The sequence below is a fragment of the Homo sapiens genome, chromosome 11 (genome assembly GCF_000001405.40).
Source record: "Homo sapiens chromosome 11, GRCh38.p14 Primary Assembly".
Classification (NCBI taxonomy): domain Eukaryota; kingdom Metazoa; phylum Chordata; class Mammalia; order Primates; family Hominidae; genus Homo; species Homo sapiens.
The window spans coordinates 26,673,193-26,697,710 of record NC_000011.10 but is presented as its reverse complement, the minus strand read 5'-3'; the positions used below and the strand labels follow the sequence as shown (position 1 = coordinate 26,697,710).

General features: G+C 36.5%; 1 protein-coding gene across 7 annotated transcripts in view, besides 1 other annotated feature; it reads left to right on the top strand.

The window, feature by feature from the left end:
- Positions 1 to 24,518, top strand: part of SLC5A12 (solute carrier family 5 member 12) — a 56,370-nt gene that overhangs the window by 25,679 nt on the left and 6,173 nt on the right. For 4 of the 7 annotated variants that reach the window (XM_011519920.3, XM_006718155.4, XM_017017244.2 and 1 more), the window contains 7 exons: positions 459 to 547; positions 5,110 to 5,222; positions 11,167 to 11,234; positions 13,868 to 13,954; positions 16,490 to 16,656; positions 18,896 to 18,999; positions 24,182 to 24,309. In XM_011519920.3, the coding sequence (XP_011518222.1) occupies positions 459 to 547; positions 5,110 to 5,222; positions 11,167 to 11,234; positions 13,868 to 13,954; positions 16,490 to 16,656; positions 18,896 to 18,999; positions 24,182 to 24,309 (756 nt within the window). Of the gene's footprint in view, positions 1 to 458; positions 548 to 5,109; positions 5,227 to 11,166; positions 11,235 to 12,933; positions 13,682 to 13,867; positions 13,955 to 16,489; positions 16,657 to 18,895; positions 19,000 to 24,181; positions 24,310 to 24,518 lie in introns of those variants that run through there. The other 3 variants (XM_047426454.1, XM_006718156.4, XM_011519921.3) reach the window with 3 other exon arrangements.
- Positions 10,398 to 11,597: an enhancer, noted in NCBI's record as "BRD4-independent group 4 enhancer chr11:26707661-26708860 (GRCh37/hg19 assembly coordinates)". NCBI's record gives its function as "activates an origin of replication core promoter dependent on BRD2, P300/CBP, MED14 and CDK7 cofactors, and independent of BRD4, by STARR-seq in HCT116 cells {active_cell/tissue: HCT116}" and the evidence as "EXISTENCE:reporter gene assay evidence [ECO:0000049][PMID:35650434]".

Genomic DNA, 24,518 nt, shown 5'->3' with positions numbered 1-24,518 from the left:
GCCTCTTATCATGTCTTCTCAGCATAACTTAAACATCGTGCTGATATACTACAGTAAACATGGTTTTGAAAACTCCATTTATGGAGAATATGCTCAAGGGAAGTAATCATTTGCCTTCCCTCTCTATATATATTTAACTGTCCTGCTCTGTCAAAGAGGGGCTCCTCTGCCACAAACCTGGATGTAGAGTAGTGCATCATATCTAGATTCCCTGAAGTCTTCTTTTAGGGGCTTGATTTTAGGGCTTAGTTGCTAACATTCAGGATAAACACGAAAGAAAATGGCGTATATTGAAAACAAGGAAAATAAACTTCCTACCTCCTTTTGCTAAACAGCTATGTTCCCACATTTCAAACACTGATGAGAAGACCACTAATCCTATTTTTTTCTCTCTCTTCTCTTTTCTTTTCTTTCTTTCTTCTTTTTATTTATTTTTTTATGTTTTGCCTCCTCTTCAGCTGATGCCGTACTTTGTCATGGAGATATTTGCCACAATGCCAGGACTGCCAGGACTTTTTGTGGCTTGTGCCTTCAGTGGAACTCTGAGGTTAGTATAGCAACAACAATCTGATGATGATGATGGAAAGGATAACAAGGATGATGGTGTAGTGATCAACAATATTTAGCAAGCACTCACTGTGTGTAAACTGACCTTCTGAATGTGTTATTTGTATTTGCTCATTAATTGGTACACAACATATGAGCCTAGAATTTTACTCATCATCAGTATACAGATAAGGAAACTGAGATTTAGCAAGATAGAAAAATTACCTATGGTGAGTTAGTAAACTGCAGGGGCTGGATGTAAGCCTTGGTCTGTCCCGACTCAAGAATTTTATGCTCATTATCCTACCTTGTCTGATGCTAATTGCCCCCACACTTTTGTATCACCTTTACATAAAGCAGCTCACTCTGCTGGCTCTTCTCATTCATTTGGCTACAATATATACAGTCTGCCACATGACATTTCAGTCAATGATGGACTGCATATATGATGATAGCCCTATATTTTAATACCATATTTTTATTATACCTTTTCTATGGTTAAGTATACAAACGCTTTGTGATTGTATTACAATTGCCTACAGTATTCAGGACAGTAACATTCTGTACAGGTTTGTAACCGTGGAGCAATAGGCTATACCGTATACCCTAGGTGTATAGCAGACAATGCCATCTAGGTTTGTGTAAGCACATTATGATGTTTGCACAATGATGAAATCACCTAACAATGCATTTTCTCAGAGCACAGCCTTGCTATTAACCAATGCATGGCTATATATTCTGCACATCTATTCTTTGCATTCCATTGATCTCATCTTTAATAACACACTCAGACAGCTAATAACTTCCATTCCCCAAATAAGGGCATTATTCTAAATACAAAATCATTCATGCATTTATTGTGACAAATATTTTAGAAGGCTTATATTATACCAGACACAGTTGGTGACATCAGGGATACTGCAGAGAACAAGACTGATATAAGCATTGTCCTCACTTATATAGAGTTTGCTTTCTAATAGACATGGAAGATGGCCAATATGTGAGTAAAAAAGATTAACAAGATTGTGTCTGAAAATAGCAAATAGTATATAAAGGAAATAACAGTGTGTATCCTAGAGAGAGGTGAAGTCTGAGGATTCTAATTTCGATAGGGTCTTTAAGGAACTCCTTTCTGAATATGTGATATTTGTATTGAAATCTAAAGGATGCAAAAAAGCCAGCTATGTGAAGAGCACAAGCAGGAACATTTACAGGCAGGGGGAAAAGCAAATACTAAAGCCCTGCGGAGACAAACTGTATGGAGTGTTTGAGGAACACAGGAAACACTGGCACCTAAGGCCCTGGAAGGAGAGCAGGTGGGGATGAGTTAGAAGAGGTGAGCAAGGATCAGATCACAACAAGCCTTTATGAAGTGGTAGAGTTTGCATTTCAAGTGAAATAGGAAGTCATTAGAAGGTTCGAAACCAAGGGAGTGAGTGACACACAAATTGAAGACTTGGTCTTCTGTGTCAGGAAGATTTGAGCTTTCCTCTTTATATATAAGAAAAATAGCCAATTGACCTAGGTTAAGGACTTTTTTTCTCATTTGTTCATTGTCTATTTGCTTTATTAATGACATTTTTGACCACGTAAAGATTTTAATTTATATTAATGTTTTACATTATGATTTCAGGATTAACATCATTCTCAAAAAGGTTTCTCCATTCTGTGATTATAAATAATCAACCAGACACCATTCTAGTATACTTATGGTTTTAGTAAATATTAATGTTATTAAATTATCTAGACTATACATATAAGAAATTAAGTGAAGTTCCTGCTTTATTTTCTTTGTAAACTAGTAACCAAGTTGTCCCATTTGTCTTTAATAAATAGGCCATCTTTTCACTGCTGACTTGAAATATTACTTTTATTACATTCTATATTCTTCTATGTATTTGATACCTCTTCTTAATTATCTTTTACATTCTTTTGATCTACTGGTCTTTAGCTATGCCAACACCAATAATTTTGATGACTGTACTTTAAAATATAATTTATCTATTAGGTTAATACCTTAATTAATTTTATTTTACAGAATTTTCCTGATATCTAGGGGTTTTAAAAAAATATTTTTAGTTGATTCTTTGGAGTTTGATTGTAATCAAATATCTACAGATATTCTTGACTTTTTTTCTTTGTTTTTAATAGATGCATTTCTATGTTTATTCTCTTATGTAATTGTGCTTTGAGAACATGATAAATAATTAAGGTAATGTTTTATTATGTACTCTAAAAGGAATATTTGTTTGGTTTCACAATTTAATAAGATATTGACTTTTGGTTTGAAAGGTATTATTTATATTTGAGAATATTCACATAAATTATTTTAAAAGTAGAAGAATAAAATGCATGTATTTATGCTAATTTTAGAAAAGATGTTTATCTGAGTGGTATATTTTGGTAAAATTTTAGCATCTTTGAAATGGTCACATATTTTTCTCTTTTAAAACTTTTAGTATGTTAATATGTTGACAGATTTCCAAAATAGCAATATCCTTGAATTTATATAATGACTTTACCTTAGGATTTTAATTTAGTGTACTGCTAACTTGTTTTTACTAATATTGTTTTTAGAATTTTGCATCAATAGCACACAGTGACACTGTCCTATGGTGTTGGCACTAGGATCTCAAGGACACTAAGGACAGAGATAATGAGCACCAGAGACTCAAACACCAGTAAGGGTCACACTCTGTCCTTTCTTTCGTCCCTCTCTACATGCTTTATTTTTTGCCCTCTTACTCTGAGGCTCACTCTCTCCAGACTGGAGAAATATGGCTGTTAACAGATTATATCCCCCATGAAAGAATGGTTGATTCCTTTATCCTAAGTCCCAAAGTTTCAAGGAAGAAACACACTGGACAACATATGGTATAGGGAGATTACTACTGCCACAAGCACAAGGAGACTGTGGGGATAGAGAAAGGAAAAGACAGGAGTAGGGATAGAATGGGAAGATAGTGGTTGAGAGGTAGGGGAAAAATATTTCCACTATCTTGTAGCAGCCTTAGAATCTGAAAATTGACATATGGATACACCTGACTGCCAAAGCAACCCTGCAGAGGTTGTACAAACCTTACCCTTCTGGGCCAAATTCAACTTTCTGCTCCCTCCCGCCCAAAGGATTCAAAGATTAACCTTGATGTTGGAAACTTTCACAAGAAGTATATTGAGACAAAGATTTTGGGAGCATAAAAAGTCCTTTTATTTAATCCCCTTCTCTCCTTATTTAACTTTTATGGAGCTCCAGATAGAAGAGGAGTCTGGCAGGGATCACATATCATGTTTTGATTCTTAGAAAAATAAGAATAGTACCCCCCAAGCAATTAGTTTTCAGATATGGGTCTTGGACAGTTTTTACTTCCTATATATATATATCACTTAGAGAAGTCATAGCTATATCTTGTTCTCAAGTGAGCACTGGAGGATAGCAGAATAATTTTTAATCAATATCAATGGAAAACTTACAAATTGCTAGACATCTTTTGTTCATTGGCCTGTTTCTTTTCCAGAATTTTTTTCTCATAGTTGTGATTTTGCATCACTTGAATTGAATATATTATCTGTTCCACTAGCTAAAATATTCCGGGTCTGTATGAGGAATTGAAGAAGGTCTCATTTTATTCTGCAAAGAAAACCCCAACGTTCAGGTCCTCTGTCACCTAAGCAAGTTTTAGGTCCAATAAGATTGAGCTCTGATTGGAAAGTGACAGAGGGAATATTAGAGGTTTTATGCAGTTTCGATTTGTGGCTACTTCCCAGTCTTACCTCTTGCTACTTTCTCTTTTACTGTTATAATATCATTCTAGCAACTCTGGTAGCTTTAGGTTGTTGAATGTAACAGCTCCTTTTTATGTTGAGACATCTATACGTAATTTTTCCTTCATCCTACAACATCTTTTTCCCACTTTGCATGGATTTTCCCAGTGCCTATCTGTCACTTCCAAAGGAAAAAGTTTCCAAACTACATGTCAATTTAGGTCTCTGTATGTTCTTACAGCGTCTTGCTATTTTCCTTCACAACTATAAGCAGGTAAATAATTGGTTGTTAAATGTTTGTGTCCCAGTTAGAGTGCAAGATCTACGTCTTTCTGGTTCACCATTGTATGCTTGATACCCAGAATGAATAAAAGGATGTAGAAATAAATGAATGAATAATTAATGAGTGGCAGGCTCTACTGATTCCTGGGTTAGAGTAGTCACTACTTTCTGCCTCCACTCCAACCTGAACACACACATAGACACACACACAGATTTCCTCTGGTGCTGCCTGCTAGTTCATTTAACCTCTTGTTAAGGGGAATTAGTGGGTGTTAGATTATGAAAGCCTAGCTTCTTCACTGTAGTTCATGGAAAAATTTTAAGAGCAATAGCATGGAAAAAGATTTGAAAGATGAGTAAAGAGGCCATATAGTTCCCATGGAGTCTCAGAAGATAGAGATATATCTGCATCTGTTTTTTCTAGAGGCCTGCCTTATCTATCTGCCCTGGACAAGAGGGCAGGCTGGTAGCTCCGCCTTATATAGCTTAGACCATGTTCTCACTTTTCTTTCCTTATAGCACCGTGGCTTCCAGCATCAATGCCTTGGCAACAGTGACCTTTGAGGATTTTGTCAAGAGCTGTTTTCCTCATCTCTCCGACAAGCTGAGCACCTGGATCAGTAAAGGCTTATGTAGGTACAGCTGGTGGACTTTCTATTCCATATCATGAAATGTACATGTGGTAGATGTCAAAATCCTGCATGTGCTATTCAGGACACACTTATAAACACAAATGCACTGTGAGATATGTGAAGAATCCCACACATAGATTCTTACACTTCCAAAGATCCAGCAGGGTATCAGGAAAGAATGACTAGCTAGTTTACCTTAACTGCCTTTATTTTCAGATACTCTTCTATACTTACCCTACACTCTAGACGAGGCTTATCCAACCCACGGCCTGTGGGCCGCATACGGCCCAGGATGGCTTTGAATGCAGCCCAACACAAATTCGTAAACTTTCTTAAAACATTCTGGAATTTTTTTGTAATTTTTTAAATCTTAGCAGCTATCATTAGTGTTTGTGTATTTTATGTGTACTCCAAGGCAACTCCTTCTTTCAACGTGGCCCAGGGAGGCCAAAAGATTGGACACCCCTGCAAACTAATCACATCAATCTCTCTTGATTACACTGTGTGATGGTCATATTAGTCTCTCTACATGGGAAGATGTTGTGCTTACTATGGCCAGTCACTTTGACAAAGAAAAGCCAAATTCTTTTCTAAAGAATTGTTCCTTATTACCAAACTCCCAGTAACCCCCTCAAAGAATAATTGCCCCTTGCTTAATCATGCAATTGCATATTATGTTTATACTCACTTCAGCACTTATCAGAGATAATTGCAGTTTCACAAGGTTTACTTTTTAAAGTATAAACAAATTATGTATTTACTTACTAATAGAAAATATAGGTAATTTGGGGAAATTTATGTACATTGTTAAATAAAATTATATCTATCTAACTTTGTTCCTGGTTGTTTTTACCAACATACTTGTGACATATACAATAACATATCATGTTATTATGTATTTTTTTAAAAACATGGTATTTGAATGATTATACAGTATTCTATCAAATGGCTTCTTTGCTTAATTTTATGTTATTGTTACTTTTTAAATTTTTTTCATTTTCTTTTAATACTGTGACAAAAAAAAACATGTACATAAACCTTCGACTGCATCTGTAATGTTTTTCCTTAACACGAACTTCTAAAAGAAAATTACCAGGTTAAATAATACAAATTCATTGATATTTCTTGGTACATATTATGAAATATGGTTCTAGTAGTGAATCAATAAGTATGTGTGGCAGCAGTGAGTGTTGATATATATTTTGTGTGCTTAATATTAGTATTTTTTTAAATTGCCCAAGTTAGTGGACAAAATGGCATCAGATTTTTGCTTTAATTTATGTCTTTTGATATATACAGCATTTTTTTCAGATAGTAATGATTTGTATATTTTTGTAAAAAATTATTTTTGCTTTCTGTATATTTGTTGATGGGACATTGGAAATTTTATTGTTTGTAAAATCTCTTTATATAAAGAGGAAATAAGTCCTCTGTCTATTGTAGAATGTCTCCCAGCTTCCCAGCTTTATTGTTTTTAAACATATTTTCATGTACAGAAAATTTTAATTTTATGTTTGATCAAATATATCATTTATTATTTTACCATTTCTTTATGCTTATACATTTCTTACATTAAAAACATGTTTACTTATATTTCCTTTAGATTGTAAGTACTTTTATATTTTATATTCAGTATATCTAAATTATTTATTTGATTTATAATTTAAGATAATAAACTAAATTTTTTTTTTTTTGAGACAGAGTTTCACTCTTGTTGGCCATGGCATGATCTTGGCTCACTGCAACCTCCACCTCCTGGGTTCCTGCCTCAGCCTCCTAAGTAGCTGGGATTACAAGCATGTGCCACCATGCCTGGCTAATTTTTTTTTTTTTTTTTTTTTTAGTAGAGGTGGTTTCTCCATGTTGGTCAGGCTGGTCTCGAAGTCCCAACCTCAGGTGATCCCCCGGCCTTGGCCTCCCAAAGTGCTAGAATTACAGGTGTGAGCCACTGCGCCAGGCCACTAAATTGTTTTTCTTATATAGTTCACTTTCCCAGCATTATTCTTTAAATATTCCTCAGTTTTAAAAATATTTCCATTAATAAAAATATATAATATAAAGGTTTCTCATGTATAAGAATGTTTCATGTTGTATACTTATTTTCTTTAATTACAAGAGTGTACCATCTTGTTTTATATTATAGCCTTGTAGCATTTTATTTAAATGTCTGATAGAACAATTCTCATTTTTCTTTCAGTTTAAAAATTAAAAATGTTTCCATTATAATTTTTACAAAAAAATTTTGGCTATTCATTACTATTTATTCTCTTAAATTAACTTTAAAGTTTACTGCATGGAACCTATCTGAACCCACCACCACCACTCCCCATCCCATGGGATTGCATTAAACATGAAAATGTATTTGGGAATAACTGATATCTTTGTAAGCCTTCCACCTAGCAATAGCATCTACTTTTTTCTATTTAATTGTGTTGTATTTTGTATTTTATGTGTTAAGTATACTCACATCTTCCTCTTTCAACTCCTCTTCCTTCCTCCCCTTTGCTCTCTTAACAATAATGATTTTAATTATGCTATTGTGTTATGTTCCTTACATTATAATAATTAAATTATATGGCCAAGTTTTAAAACTTTATTGTGATCTCTCATATACACATTGCCTAGATTCTCCATTATTATTTTCCTATACTTGCTTTTTCATGTATTCATCCAGTTGTCTATTCATCCATTAATCCATCATATTTTTGATACATTTAAAAGCAAATTGTGGACCTCTGCACACTTCCCCCAAATTATTGTAACATGCACATTGTTAACGATAATTCACTATTTGTTTCAAGTTTTTTTAAATGTAAAAAAAAATTCACCTATAATGAAATGAACAAATATTAAATACAACTTTCTTGAGTATTGACGAATGCATACACCTGTGTAACCCAACCACTTATCAGGATATGTGACCTTCACCGTGGAAAGTTCTCCTATGCCTTCTCTAGTCATTCTTTTCTCTCACTCACCCTCCAGAGGCAAATACTGTTCCAATTTTTTCCACCATAGATTAGTTTTACCTCTTCTAGAATTTTATATAAATGGGATCACACCATTGCACTTTTTTTTTTCTTTTTGTGAGACAGAGTTTCACTCTTGTTACCCAGGCTGGAATGCAGTGGTGCGATATCTCGACTCACTGCCACCTCCGCCTCCCGGGTTCAAGGGATTCTCCTGCCTCAGCCTGCGGAGTAGCTGAGACTACAGGCGCATGCCACGACACCCGGCTAAATTTTGTATTTTTTTAGTAGAAACGGGGTTTCACCATGTTGGCCAGGCTGGTCTCAAACTCCTGACCTCAGCTGATCCGCCTGCCTAGGCCTCCCTAAGTGCTGGGATTACAGGCATGAGCCACCGCACCCAGCCTGCACTTTTTTTTTTTTTTTTTTGTAACGTCCTTCTTACGGCATAAAGTTTTTGAGATTACATGATGTTTTGTGTGTGTTCATAGTTTATTCTTTTTTATTGCTCTTAGTATGCCACATATGGATATACCACAGATCTTTTTTTAACATCTGAGTCTATTGATGGGCCTGGGCTGTTCTTGTTTGAGGTCATTATGACTAAAACTGCTATGAATACTCTTGCACAAGTCTTCTTGTGTACGTGTTTCCATTTCTCTTTGATAAATAGCTAGGCATGGAATTGCTTAGTCAACTATTGTCATTTTAATTTCCTTGCAGTTTTTCCTTATCATACCCGGATCCATCTTCATCTAAACTTATTGGTGTTACACCCTGTCTTCCTGTTCTTTTCATCTTGTTTTCTCTTGACTTGTATGTCCTTGCTTCATTGAGTCTGTGTATCCTTGCAGCATATTAAGATTGCCAAAGTTTTAAACTATTTTTTTCTGGTTCCTAAAGTGAATTATTTGCAGAAAGAATACTATTTATTTCAGTTTTTAGGTTAATATATTCATTCCCATTTTTGGCAACATTTTGTCATGTATTCTATATTTCCTTTCTTCGTTTATTTGTGTTTGAACAAGAAGAGAGGAATGTTGACCACATGTTTGCTAACTGGGTAGCTGAATTGCCTTGATTCTGCTCACTCTCTGAGTTAGAGCTGATAGCAAGTAGATGGGCACTGCTGCCAGTATAATTCCCGATTTCTGGCAGATATTCATGGATACTCTGGATTGAGGTAGAAGTTTCACCTATGCCTGTGTTTTGTTGTCTGATCCTCCGAGCTGATGCTGCATTGGGAAAATCCATAGCATTTTCTGCAACTGTGGAGCTTTCACTCCCTCTACTGCTTTGTTTTTGGGAGATATTCCAGATGTCTATGAAATTTCCACAAATTTCTCCTAAACTTCCTGCCTAGCATGCTGCTGTTGGTTGCAATCTGGTGGAAGGATAAAGATTTTGTGGGGAGGACTGAATCAATTCTCTAGTCGGCACAAAAAAGAAGAACTTATGAATTGAGGGATGGCTGCCTAGAATCTCATTTGAACAGGTAACCATTGGTCCAGTGAGAGGGCAGTCAGAAGGAGAGAAAAAACATGTCTTTCTTCTGTTCTTCAGGCTTATAGGGCTCTCCTTTTTCATGAAGCAATACAAAGTCAGGGCAGACATTGTTTTCTGTAGTCTTATCTATCTATCTAATAGTCTAATAGTAGTCAATCTATCTAATAGTAGCCTATCTATAATAGATAGTTGGAATACTTTTGGAATTTTGGCAAGTGCTTAGTGATCAATCTTGAAGTTTCCTTATTTTTGTGTGTCTTATTGAGAAGTTGGAAAAGATAGCCTCAAAGATGACTAGCCTGATTTCATTTTAAGAGTGGGTTCCTCATAAGGAATATCATGTAATGACTCTGAAATAAAATAATAAAAATGATAAATACATAGTACTTGCTGCGTGCCAGGCACTGTTCTTGGGTATGTGCATATACTTGTTGGATTAATTTGCAAGCAGTTTCTTCCTAGAATGAAAGCTGTTAGAGACAGGAATCACATTCTAACTTTATGGCACTGGCATCTGGTGCAGTGTCTCATCTATGGTTGGTATTCAATAAGATTGAATTAATAGTCATGTTGGGAACTGGGTTGGATATGTAGCTGACAGAGAATGCTCAAAAAGAATCAACACAATAGTTTTCTTTCCATTTCTGACACTGTGTCTCCATCTCTGTCAATCTGCTACTTTTTGCCTATCTTTCTCTCTATTGTTTTGTTTATGTGTTATTATTGGAATTCAGTGTACTTTTGAGATTATTTTTAAACAAAGATGTATAAAAACAATGACTTTTTAAAAGATGGTTTAGAAGAAGATATTATTTTTAAAAGATGACAAAATACATATGCTGATTCATTTAGCGAGCTTTCATGATACCAGAAGAGCACCATACTCTGAAGGTCCTTTTGGTGATATGGAAACAAACAAATCATTATGTAATGTAACTAAGGACCATAAGGATAATATAAAAAAAAGCGCCAAAGGGAAAAATCTGAAAAACTTTCCAGATTTGCGAAACCTGTTAGGTAGAATGTGTAGACATTATTTAACCATTGTTAAGATGAAAAACTACTGGAGTCCTGGAATTAGTAGCTTCTTTTTCAGCTCCTTGCTGGAGGGTGGTTGCCCAGGAATTAATTTCCACTAATTTTGTCTAGATTAGTCTGGACCTCTCCCACATTTTCATGTTGTTTCCACATAACAGATTTCTTCCAGAAGCTTAGAAGGATAACCCTTGAGGCTGGATAGCAGTTCATTCCGCCTGATGAGGAAGCAGGTCATTGAAACTTTTCCTTGGTAAAGAGACTTCCTAAGTGCCTCTCTTGGGGCTGATGATGGCTGAATGGGGAGGATGGTCCTCGCTGAGATCCCTTTGCAAAGGGCTTGGATCAGAGACAGTTCTGAGTGGGGGCTCAAGGCATCCCTTGAAGTCAGGAATCCCTCAGGAAATTATGATTGTAATTTTTCTTTCTTTCAGGTCTCTTATTTGGCGTGATGTGTACCTCTATGGCTGTGGCTGCATCTGTCATGGGAGGTGTTGTGCAGGTAACGAAAGAAGGAAAAGACACATTTGGTTTCACTGGAACTTCCCCCCACTCTCTTTTAATGTCTTGCTTCTTCCTCCAAGATCCAAAGGCTGACATTTAATGATACCAGCTCCAAATTAAAAATAAATGTAAAATGCATGTAAAATCAATTCTCTAGTCAGCACAAAAAAAGAACTTATCTTTTCAGAAAGAGAAATCACTTTCCGAAGGGGAAACTATTAAATCACTTTCAGAAGGAGAAACGATTAAAACTAGTAATGGGATAGTGAGATAAAATTAGAAACTCTTAAAAATTCTGATCTGAGAATTTATTATCCTGATATGAAAGTAGTGATAAAAATAGTAAAACCAATAATAATTAACATTTATGTAACACTTACTATGTTCTGGGCAGAGTCCTAGATGTATTATTTCATTTAATCTTCATCACTTCTCTTAAAGGTAGTATAATTAATGCACTAATTTTCCAGATGAAGGAACTAGGAAGTAACTGTCTCAAAGTTACATAATTAAAGAGTGGTAGAACTGGGATATCTGCTCACCTCCACCTATCATCCAAGCCGAACTCACAACTCCCAATTCCATAAAATATCAGTGCTAAAAGGAACCTTATGGATAATCTGTTTCAACATCTTCATTTTGCAGGTGATTACGGGAAAAAAAGTGAAAATACCCTGTTCAAGTTCTCACAGTTAGTGGAAAAACTAGGTTTATGACTCAAGTCTCCTGAGCCACCCATCCCCATTCTTCATGTTGCCCAACTCACAAAGCAGCATCAGATAAGCACATATTCAGATTCTACTCCGATTCTCTCAGTCCCGTTGTGTCTTTGTGGGTTTTTTTGTTTTTTTGTTTGTTTGTTTTTTTGAGACAGAGTCTCACTCTGTCACCCAGGCTGGATTACAGTAGTGTGATTTTGGTTCACTGCAACCTCTGCCTCCCAGGTTCAAGCAATTCTCCTGCCTCAGCCTCCCAAGTAGCTGGGATTACAGGTGCCCAGTTAATTTTTGTAGTTTTAGTAGAGATGGAGTTTCGCCATATTTGCCAGACTGGTCTTGAACTTCTGACCTCAAGAGATCCACCAGCCTCGGCCTCCGAGTGCTGGGATTACAGATGTGAGCCACTACGCCTGGCCTTTTGTAATCTGAACATTATTTAGAGTTTCTTATCATGGCATAAGTTTTCAATAAATGTTTTTCAAATGAAGATATGAGTCACAGTAAGTGAATAGTAATCATTAATGTTTATAGAAGGCCTTCCAGTTCCCAGAACAGTGTAACTTACTTGATCCTTCCAATGACTACTTAGATATGTTCCATTACTTCCATTTTAAGATTCAGGGAACTAATCTAGGAGAGCTAAGTGATGGAATAATTCACCTGTCTACATAAAAGAACTTGTGGGACATGATGTCCTTTCTAATAGGCCATTAACTACTGTTTCATCACAGATGCTTTGTAATCCCTTCATAATGTTTGAAGCACTCTGATATATACCCATCTACACAGCAGAAGTGGCAAGGTGGTGAGGTTTGTCTTTAGTGATCTCAGGCACTTATTTTAGGTTTATTTTCCTATTCATGGAACCTATATTTCCAAGTTGCTTCTGATGTCTTGTGCGCCACAATAATATTTACTCTTAAGAAAGTATCATCATGTCCAACTGGTGATTTGAGTCACTAAATTGTTTTCTTCCAGAGATATTTCCATTGTGAGCTCCTCTGCAATTGAAGTATGAGGGGCTCCAGATAGGCAAGGACTCCTCCAAAGACTGGTGGAAAACAATTCTTGTAGTGAGGAGGAAGTCGTGAGTGATGCCCTCATCTGCCTGCCTTAGTTCAGATGAGTATCCTGGGCCCACCTTCTTGATTGATTAAGATGTGTGCCACGCAGTTTAAGAGATGTTGATAGGCAAGAAATGAAAACCCTGACCTCTCCTTTCCTAGGAGAGGCATGATGGCTAGTGACTTTTGTAAGAGATTGTCAAATATTTTTCCCACAGGGAAGATAAAATTACCTTTACTAACTTATTGACTCTCCTATGTAATCACTAGTAAATTAGCTTTCAAATTCAGCAACCCTAGAAACTGTGAATTAATGCTATCGTCAGCAGAGGAAATGCCAAGAATATTAACTTAAGTATTGATGCTGGGTAAGAAGGAAGGCTTTACCCTCATCTGCCTCCATTTTGTCAAGAATATATCTGAGGCATTGACTTCTTTGAAATTAATCTGGAAAAAACAATCATGCATTGTAACCCATCTTTCTGGAAAAAAGAACTTGCATTACAGCTAGAGGTGATTTGAAGTCCCCTTGGTTCTATGACCTTATATTTTTTATAGAGAAAGAAGACTCTGAAGTTCAATGAGTTTCAACTTGAACTTCAAACTAAATTCAGGTTACCTGCCTTTCTACTATACAAACACACACACACACACACACACACATACATAAATACAGTGCTTATCATTCATCCCAGAATTGAGAAATGACTTATAGAAAGCACATAATTAACAAATGGCACAGTCAGGACTAGGACCCAATATTATCCCAGGTCCAAGAGAGGTATGATGCCAGGAAGTCACAGATGCCCTTGAGTAGGGGATTCATCTGGTCTGCCTTTGTTCCACAGGCTTCCCTCAGCATTCACGGCATGTGTGGAGGACCAATGCTGGGCTTATTCTCCCTGGGAATCGTGTTCCCTTTTGTGAATTGGAAGGTAAGGATCCCACAGCCCTCTTCACAATTCCCAGTCAAAACTGGGCCCAGCCGTTTTCTCTCTCCTCTCAGCCCTGTTTAGAAAAGCTATCTGTCTTAGCCAGGAAAAGAATCCACAGCAGAATTAAACAGAGCTTGAGTCTACCTGTCTCTGACTTCAGTGACATCTTTCTGGGTACAGAAATGAAAGAAGAGCAGAGGTAGTTATGAACTGCCACATATCCTGACATCAAAGCTGACTCTTTAAGGTTAAATTAAGTCTTCTCTAAATTAAAGGCCCACAACATTAACTGTAAAATAGATATTGAATTCAAGAATAGTTTTGTTGAAACACAATTTTGAAAATTCGTATTTACAAATGTAAATCTCATTGTTTTCTGTGTATAGTTACCTAGATTTATAACTAACTTTATTAAATTAATTAACTAATTTATGTAGGGGAGAAGGGACAAACTTGGGTTCTGACAGCTGGATCTTCATTTTGCTGCTCTGACAAGCTAATAGTATGTCTTCAAGTAAATGTTGGTTGGATAACTATGTATTGAGTTTAAATCAAGATGAATAATTATTTGGAAAAATAACATAACAATATTTTTAAAACATTTATAATAGCAGGATTTTCTCAGTCTAACAAAATTGCCATCTTTCAATTATTGCCATGTGCACACTTACATGCATGTATTTTGAGAAAGTCTTTTGATTCCAGAAAGCTTGACTTTACACTTATTAATGTATATACTATAGGATATTCCATAAAGTCTGTGTCAGATAGTATACTTGATTAGGTCTCTGTGGCTACCTGACCCTTATTGACCTTTCTCTTAGATAAATCCTGTGGGGCTAAGTAAAGGAGATTGATGGGTAGCGAGCATTCGGGTCTTTGCAGCACTTCCCAAGCAGTCTTAATCACTTGTCTGATATTGGGGTTGACAAGAATATTATGTCTTTGGGGAGATAATGTGAGGGAAGACAATATCCTAGCCACAAAAAATATGAGCTAACTACATAAGATTTTAGTGCACTGTTAACATTGATTTATTATCTATGTTAGTACATTGTAGTTTTTTCTATTTGGTCAGGAAAACCACCTTGATTTCTCTTAATGAAATCACCTTGTCATTTTGGGCAGCCATTGGGGCCCTCATTTACCCTGCACCAGCCTCTAAGACATGGCCTTTGCCTAGATATTTAATAAAGTATAGTAAATATTATAAATTTGTGTCACCTCTCCCCTCATCAATGGCCATAGCTGATCCTACTAACCAATCATGGCTCTCCTTCCCATAGAATGTGGCTACACCTTCAGAATCTGTCTCAACATGGCTCTCCAGCTAGCCATTATAGATCAACCAGGGTTAACCCTCCAGTTGAAATCCATTTTCCACTTACTGGTAGGCCAGGGGTCAGCAAACGATATGCCTCAAGCCAAATCTAGCTGGCCCCCTGTGTTTGGTATGGCTTCAAGCTAGAAATGGTTTTGACATTTTTTAAATGGTTGGGAAAAAAGTCAAAAGAAGAATAATATTTTCTGGCACAAAAATATTACATAAAATTCCAATTTCAGTGCCCATAAATAAAATTTTACTAAAAACACAGCCAGGCTCTTCTGCTTGGGTATTGTCTATAGTTGCTTACATGCCATAAGAGAACTGAGTTGTTGTGACAGATACTGCATGGCTTACAAAGCCTAAAATATTTATTGTCTGACTGTTATATTAGAAATTTTCAGATCACTTGTTTAGACCAAGGCACAAGTATTCAAATCACACACACTGATTAAATTTCTTCAAACAATAATGGAGAAAGTATTCTGGAACTCTTACCAAGGCCTCTTCTATTTTTTTCTGATTAACTAGAGAAGCCAACAGGTTTCTTTTCTCTGACTCAGAAGGCTCAGTTTCCTAGCAGTGACCAGAAACATCAGATTATATTCTCTAGTGGTCCTAATCTCTGCTAGATTGTTCTGCCTCCTCTACAAGAAAAGTGATTCTTTGACTTTTCACTATTTATCAAGAAATATAAACCTTAAATGACAAGACCATTAAATGCACTTGCTAGTATTCATACTCAAACAAAAAAACTCAGAACTAGGGAGTCAGGGGACTCTGCTGGTTACTTAGGAAGAGAGATAGGAGTAATAATTTCTGTATAAAAGCTGTCAATAACTAAAAATGACCTAGTATTTGAAGTTTTCCTTAACTTCTGAAAGTCTTCTAATGAGAATTGAGGTTTCAGCAGCTTTTTAAGTAGTAAGAGAAAGAAACCCTAAGGAGAAAAATAATTATTGCTAGAAATCTAAATATAATGATCACCATGAAATTATCTGATGTCTTCATTTAAAGAACAAGTCACTCCTTAATAAACCTGCATTATGGGAGTTGAGGTGAAGGCAGTTTGAGCAGAGTGTTTCTGAAATATGTGGCCAAGATTTGGGATGGAAAGCCAGAATCTCTAAGGCATAGAACTCCTCATCTCATTATTCTTTCCATAGACAGCTTTGCCAAATTTCCCATTAACCTTTTTCTTCTTCATCCAGGGTGCACTAGGAGGTCTTCTTACTGGAATCACCTTGTCATTTTGGGTGGCCATTGGGGCCTTCATTTACCCTGCACCAGCCTCTAAGACATGGCCTTTGCCTCTGTCAACAGACCAATGTATCAAATCAAATGTGACAGCAACAGGGCCTCCAGTACTATCCAGCAGGTATGCTGACTTTATAGATGGTGCTAAGTCCCAGAGAGTGGGTCACCTGGTAAGAGGGAGGTGCACTCTTCAGAGATAAGTGTGATGAGACATATCTTGTTCTCTTATGAGACTCACTCAGGGAAGTACCCAGCACTGAAGAGTGCCACGCAGGGCTGCAGCTTTCTGCAGATGTCCATTCCTCTGTATTCAGACATACAAAAACCAATTTGGTGAAAGAGTTAATGCGAGATATGAGTACAAAAGAGAAAAAATAGTGGAGGGTTCAAAGACAGGTGACTGGGTATGAGGAACATGGTTTCCTCAAAGAATAAAACTCAGTAGAAGAAGTTTGTGAGCAATGAGGATAATGCTTATGGGCAAGCTGAGTTAGGAGCACCGCTGTGAACCTATGGCTTCTAAACCAAACAATATGAACACAGGGTTTAACAAAGGATTTCCCTTTGTACTTCTGGCTGGGGTAAGTGATCAAATATATCAAAATACATCAGATACTATGGTGTAGAGAGACGATTGTGGACTTTGAAATCTGAAATATTTGGGTTTGGATTTTGGTTTTATAATTTATTCCCTCTGTATCTTTGGACAAGTTAGTAAGTTGTAACTTCTTGAATTCTCAGAGCCCTTGATGGAAAAATGAGGAAATATATATATATATATGAATATATATACATATATATATGAATATATATACATATATATATGAATATATATACATATATATATGAATATATATACATATATATATATGAATATATATACATATATATAAAGTAGCACTACACGTGACTTTAATAAATGTTCACTCTCACATTCTAATTGTATGTAAGAGCAAGTCTAGAAAATATAGGATTTGTGTTATTTGTGTATCCTCAAAAGTACTTCATTTTTAGTAGCCCTTTTCTGATTATCATCAATATCTCCCCATACTGGCTCATTCCCTCTGAGTCCAGGCTTCTCAAACTGGCCAGATAATGTGGCAAATTGCATTCATGAAAGTCTCTCTCGGTCCGGCATATCTTCTCCTCTCCATTGTCCTTGTCAATCTTGAGGCTAGTCTTGTCTTTACAAAGTCCAGAAAAGTGAAATTATCTTATTTGTATTTTTTATTTCCTCCATTTTTCTATCTCTTTTCCTTTCTAATACAACCCATTCTATCCAAGCATCACTAGATTTATTTTTTCTGAAGCACCTTTCTGAACTCATTACTACCACATGGAGATGACTTAAATGATTCATGTGCTTATGGAATAAAACACAACCTTTTTATCCTGGAGCTAAATACCTGCCAAACTTAAAACTTTCCTGTGGTTTTAATGTTATTAACTATTGTTTTCCTTCTACTCTGAATTCTGTTTCTTCTCGTCTACCTATGCTTATCCCACTCTTTCCTACATTTGGGTCCTTAAGCTATTCCCTTTACATGAATATATTTTAGTGTTCATTTCCACTCTCCTAAAATCTGTTTATCTTTCAAGAGCCATACTAGTGTCTCCTATTCCTCCATAAAGTTCATTTTGACTCAGGTTCCAAATGGGCACTCCATTATTTTGCTTCCATTTGTCTTTGAGTTTCATTTTCTTTCCATAAATTTTATATCGAAGAATTTCAACCTATTCATGGTTCCCCATAAACCATGTTGATTCTTCCCTCCTGCCTATACTTACTGTATTCTCTTCTTAGAATGCTAATTCCTGGCCCTGACTACCCTCTTTGCTTGATTAACTACTAATTATTCTTTCAAAATGAGCTGAGGTATCATCTCACGCATTGGTCTGAATTTGATACTACTCTGAAGGCTGCCATAGTATTTTATACCTTTTCTACTGAGGCAAAACCAACCCATTTTATGATTGTCTATTAGCTCCTGTATGTAGACTTTGTGACTTTCTCATCTTTATATCACTAATGCTTGTCACAATTACTAGCACTAAATCTGGGCTTAATAAAAGTCTGAAGAATAAATAATACAAATGAAATTGTATTATTTGTATTAAGACACAATCCTCATTGTAATACTTATGATTCAGTATCAACATCGTTATATTTGTAATTCAGGAATGAATTGAATTGAGTGGAATACAAAGCACATCTTCTCTAAATATAATTTTTTAAATGACAAAAAGTTATGATTTAGGCTTTTGAGATGCCAGGCCCTAAAATGAATCCTGAGCAGTCCTCTACATCACTGTGGGTCTTTAGGATGCATGGAATTGGTGACATGTGCTGTTCTCCACAGACCTGGAATAGCTGATACCTGGTACTCGATCTCCTACCTTTACTACAGTGCAGTGGGCTGCTTAGGATGCATTGTTGCTGGAGTAATCATCAGCCTCATAACAGGTTGGTTATAATTCCTCCCTTTGGGACTAAAGAAGATATGGGCTCATGCATGCATTGGTGGACTGGCTGTCTGTCTTATTGCTTTGAATTCACGTTTCCCACAAAAACCCTTCTTCCCACAGAGATGTCTACTCTCTCAACGCTGACATACAAAGGCACCCTTCATTATTATATACCTGACTATTAATATATAAAACATATATTCACGGGAGGCTGAGGCAGGAGAATCGCTTGAACCCAGAAGGTGGAGGTTGCAGTGAGCTGAGATGGTGCCATTGCACTCCAGCTTGGGCAACAGAGCAAGGCTCCGTCTCAAAAAACCAAAAAAAACCCCAACCAAACAAAAAAACATATATTCAAACATTTCCCATATATTATTTAAAAAAAGATGCTTTGACACATGCCCCCCAGAGGCCTGAGTATGAAAAACCCTCTGTAATATAACAATCAGTAAATAAGGTTAAATATTCAGAGTGGTTCTTTTCCCTTCATCCCAGTAAGAGACAAGATTTTTGTCATCACCATCTTACTATCTCATGAAGTCAGCCTTTGCTAACTTACTAGAAAAGCAAAACACTGTTGTTTTTGCCTATGTTGTCCTTTGGAGGCTGCTTCTCTAGGGTCGTGGAGTTCTCTGCAGTGAGCAGCTTCACTGTAAGCCATTTTTAGCAAAGTGTCTACCATCCATACTTGCCCTTTTGATGTATTAATGTCCTTTTTGTTTCAAAGCCCATGAGGGGTTGGTAGTGGTGAGAGTGTGGGAGATAATGGGGTGGAATAAGTTCACTGTACTCTTGTCCCTCCACCTCCTTGGAGTATGTATTTTAGCTAAAAAATTTTAAGGTATTCTATTTTTCCATGACTATTATATACCAATGAACAATGGCCAACATTCTGACTCAACACAAAACCTGAATGGCAACATTTCTGGTGACTGTGTACTAGAGATGTTATATTGAAGCTCCAATGCCCTATTGTTCTGTGCATGATGTCACTAGCCATTCACTGAAATTTAAGAAGATCTTGGCTATGATAAAGAATAGACTATAAATCTTGTAACCCCAGTCTTTCACATAATAACAACTCTCTCAATGTCTTTATGTAAATGGTTTCAGGCAAAAGATTGTTTATTCATTTTGTTTAGATTTTGCCTTAGTACCCTGACATCTGTAACTCCTTCCTTGATGCTAGTGGGATATACCTAGACATTTCAGTTTAGTGATCGGTCACCACTAAGAAGACAACCAAGATTTCAGCTGCCTGAACATTTCCTTCTAAATCAGGAAATGTGTACACATGAAATCCAGTAGTTTGCCAGTCCATATTTTCCATGTGTGCACCAGAATTAGCATGCTCTTATGTTGATACAGCAGCACTTATATTAAATTTGATTGAAAATTCTTACACATTTTCAGCATGAATAACTCTTCCAGTATTAATCCCTTTGTTTTCTTTTTCTCCAAATAAGCCAGGTCTTAGTCAAATGCCCTTCAGGCCAAAAGCGAACACTCTAACAAAGTCTAATTATGCCTTCAAACATTTGGAAAAATTTTTGAACATGACCACCAGATGTTCTTGCCTCCTGGTCCCTGTCTTCCAAATGAGGCCTTAGGGCTAGCCTGATAACCTCAGGTCTGCTCACTAAGAGGCTTTAACAAATCTTCTGTAATACCCACTGAATCTTTTAAAAAGTCTTACAATGTTTAAATGTAGAATAGGGTCAGTAAGGAAGGACAGAGGCCTTTTGTGGGCCTGTTCTCCTTGTGTCATATTTTATCTTGGTCTTGTTTGGTCTTAATAGGTGATGTCTTCAATTATACTTCTTCCAGATAAAATACGGCACCTCGAAGATATGCTGTTTATGTTACTCATACATGTTGACACATAGAATCATGTCTGTGTTGATTAGCAACTCCAGGAAGTTTATATCATTAATCATTTTGTGCATCAGCTGCTGAAAGATCTTGGCCTAAGATACACTTTAAATTCTTAATTATTACTGATAAAATTCTGCTGGATGGCTGAAAGTTATTTTTTAATTTTTCCATTTTAGATATGTGAAATGAAAATATCATTTCCTAAATCAAGAACAAATACCATTGTTGGTGTATCAAGTGGCCAAAACATCCCATTATCAGGACAGTATATAGAGATTGATGCTACTCTGTTTTTCAGTGTACAGTAGTTTATATTTATCTGAATCTTACTATATTTTTCTCATTTACCATAAAGCTGCATGTCTCAGATATAAAATCTTTAGTTATCAATCTATTATTTTATATTTTAGATTATGTTTCCGTACTAAGGTTAAATCTGGCCTACTACCTGTTTTCTTTTTTTTTTTTTTTTTTTGTTTTCTAGAAACAGAGCTTGCCCATTTATTTGCTTTTAACTATGGTTGATTTCACTCTACAAAGGCAGAGTTGAGTAGTGGCAACAAAGATCCTCTGGTTAGCAATGCCTAAAATATTTACAATCTATCTCTTAACATAAAAAAGTAATCTTTGTATTAGATAATTAATCTCATCAGAGAAATTTACTGGACTAGTTTATAAATTGTCAGGAATTGTGCAGCTCTGTATAACGATGAGAGACAGATCAAAAATATTCTAGCTTTCAGTTTGCTGTGGTGAAATCTGATACCATTCTAATTTCTGATTCTTGTGTGTAATCTACCTTATTTCAGTCTCTCTCTCCTCTTTGTCACACACACACAGACAGAGGTACATACACACACACACAGATACATGCACACACACACACAGATAGATACACACACACTCATGCCATTCTTTCTGTTGCAAGTTTATAGACCATCTCTTTATTCCTAGGTTTCTGAAATTTTATGCCCTTTCCACTCCTAATCTGACTTTCCTAACTTCCAACTTAAGCCTATGTCTTATACTCAGGACTTCTGCTGAGAGTTTTGGGGCTTGTGCCCAGTAGAGGGACCATGTGGGGAATGGATTCTAGGTTGCATTCTGCTCATGGAGTCAGTACCTTGGCATAGAGTTGGTTCTGCTCAGAGGAAGGGGAACTTTCCTCAAAACCACCCCAGGTTACTATACATCTAGAGACATTTCCTCTATAAGCATGAACTTTCTTTTCCTTAGGATAAACCTACTTGTCTACAGGATATGATCTCATCCCCTTTGACCTTCTCTTTTCTCACCTAGTATGTCTACAGTCCTGTAGTCTCTTGACGAACTTGGTTTCAACCAATTTTCTCAGCAGTCCACTGATGCTCAATCCCCAAGGTCTTGCTCATGAAAGAGATGATAAATCCACGATTGAAGGCAAACACAGAGCTTCTGGTTTGAGAATTTGAGTTTCATTTTCATTTTTAACTTTCCTACCTGTGAGAATTATAGCCCTATACTTTGCTTTACCATCTGCTATCTCCCAAAGGGAATACTGTCTTTTTCTAGAAGAAAACAGAATCTAAATCCATATGAAGCAGAGTCCTGTCCTTCTTAGCAAATCTCAGGACCTGCTCTTAAGAGACAATAGATCTACATCATTTGTTGGAGTGTTTGATGATTTTGTGGTTCATTCAGAGACAAAACTCTTCTCTGTTTGAAACCCTGGAAATGGCTTTGTCCCAAATTAAATTATTCTGATTCAGAGATGCCCTTGGATAGAAGTTTGAGGTTTTGCAACTCCTCCTCAGCCACTCACACATACGCACACATTAAGGCAAATGGAGCGTTACAGAGTGTGAGATCACATATGTTTAACTAAATGTATACTTCATCATTTATTAGCTTCTAGAAAAGTTCACCATTTCCTCATCCATGAAATGAGAATAACAATACTTACCTATTTATAGGGATTAGTGATAATCTATGTAAAATGTGTTCAGTATGTAGAATACACTGACTAATTGATAAATATTATTATCAACAGTAGTAGAATTCTATGTGGCCAAATGTCTTTTGACATAGTGATGTAAATGCCAGGGAATAGATTGCTTAAGCCTCAATTTAGATTTTTAAAAATCCACATTTTGGGCCAGGCATAGTGGCTAACATCTATAATCACAGCACTTTGGGAGGCTGAGGTGGGCAGATCACCTGAGGTCAGGAGTTTGAGACCAGCTTGGCCAACATGGTGAAATCCCATCTCTACAAAAAGAATGCAAAAAATTAGCCGGGCATGGTAGTTCGTGCCTGTAGTCCCAGCTACTCCAGAGGCTGAGGCAGGAGAATCACTTGAACCCGGGAGACGGAGGTTGCATTGAGCCGAGATCATGCCACTGCATTCCAGCCTGGGCAATAGCATGAGACTCTGTCTCATACAAAAAACAAACAAATCTACATTTTTTTATTTTTTTTGTCTCTAGAAAGCAGTTTGAGAAAAAGTTTGTGGATGGTCACAGTATCTGGCACTTAAAAGAAATTTGATCAACAGTGTAACCACTACTCCACTCCTCCCTCTAGGGATCTTTACACTACACTGACTATGGGACTAATAACTATCCTTGAATGATATTGGGTATTAGTGAATAGTCTTTATGACTTAAAATTTGCATAAGTTCTGGGAGGAGCAAAATCATTGGCCTTTACATCTTGGTTTGAATATCAATTTGACTCTTGTTCCACAGCAGGATTTGAAGAAATAGGACATTGAACAGGTATGTTTCAAGGAAGGGAAAAGGAGGGTGTGAGGCATGAGGAGGTGTGAGGAATGCTTAAAGTACCTGGGAGGAACATGAGGGTATTGCTTGTTCAGGATGTTAGGGTGAAAGAAAAGAAGGAACAATAAAAATACTCTTTCTAATTTTACAAATACTGACTTAGATGATCTCAAATATTAATATATCTGGTTTGGATAAAAAGTCAAGAGCTTTTTTAAAGGAAGAAATTGCATAATTACTGCTATCCCCTCTGTTGGCCAAAGAAGGTTACTAGTAGCATTTTCTATAATAGATATTTAAAAATAAATAGGTTGTCTCTGTTTAACTCTACAGTCATGAGTCTACCTGACCTGACAATTTGTTGATGTTTAAAAACGAACTCCCACCCCTTTCAGCAGTTAACCAATTTCTGTTTATTAACCACTCAATCTTGTTTTCACTCTTATTCTAAAAAGCAACCTACTTTTCAAGTTGACAATGTTTAAATCTGTAAAGGAAGACATGGAGGCCTGCAACCATCTAATCTATTTGTTCTTTTGTTAATAGGTCGCCAAAGAGGTGAGGATATTCAACCACTGTTAATTAGACCAGTTTGTAATTTATTTTGCTTTTGGTCTAAGAAGTACAAAACACTATGCTGGTGTGGAGTTCAGCATGACAGTGGGACAGAGCAGGTGAGCTGATGTTTGAGCTTCTAAAAATGTGTATGGACTCAAAGGGATTCCTGGTTTTGCCCATTTAAACCGGCTGCAAAGATGCACTGGAAAGGGAAAGCAGTGAGTGTGAGAACTTGAAGGAATTTGAGTTTCAGCTTCAGAGTTATCTCAGCTAATCAGCTTTTAAGCACATAAATATGTTGATAGGTAAAAGTGCCTTGTAGCTG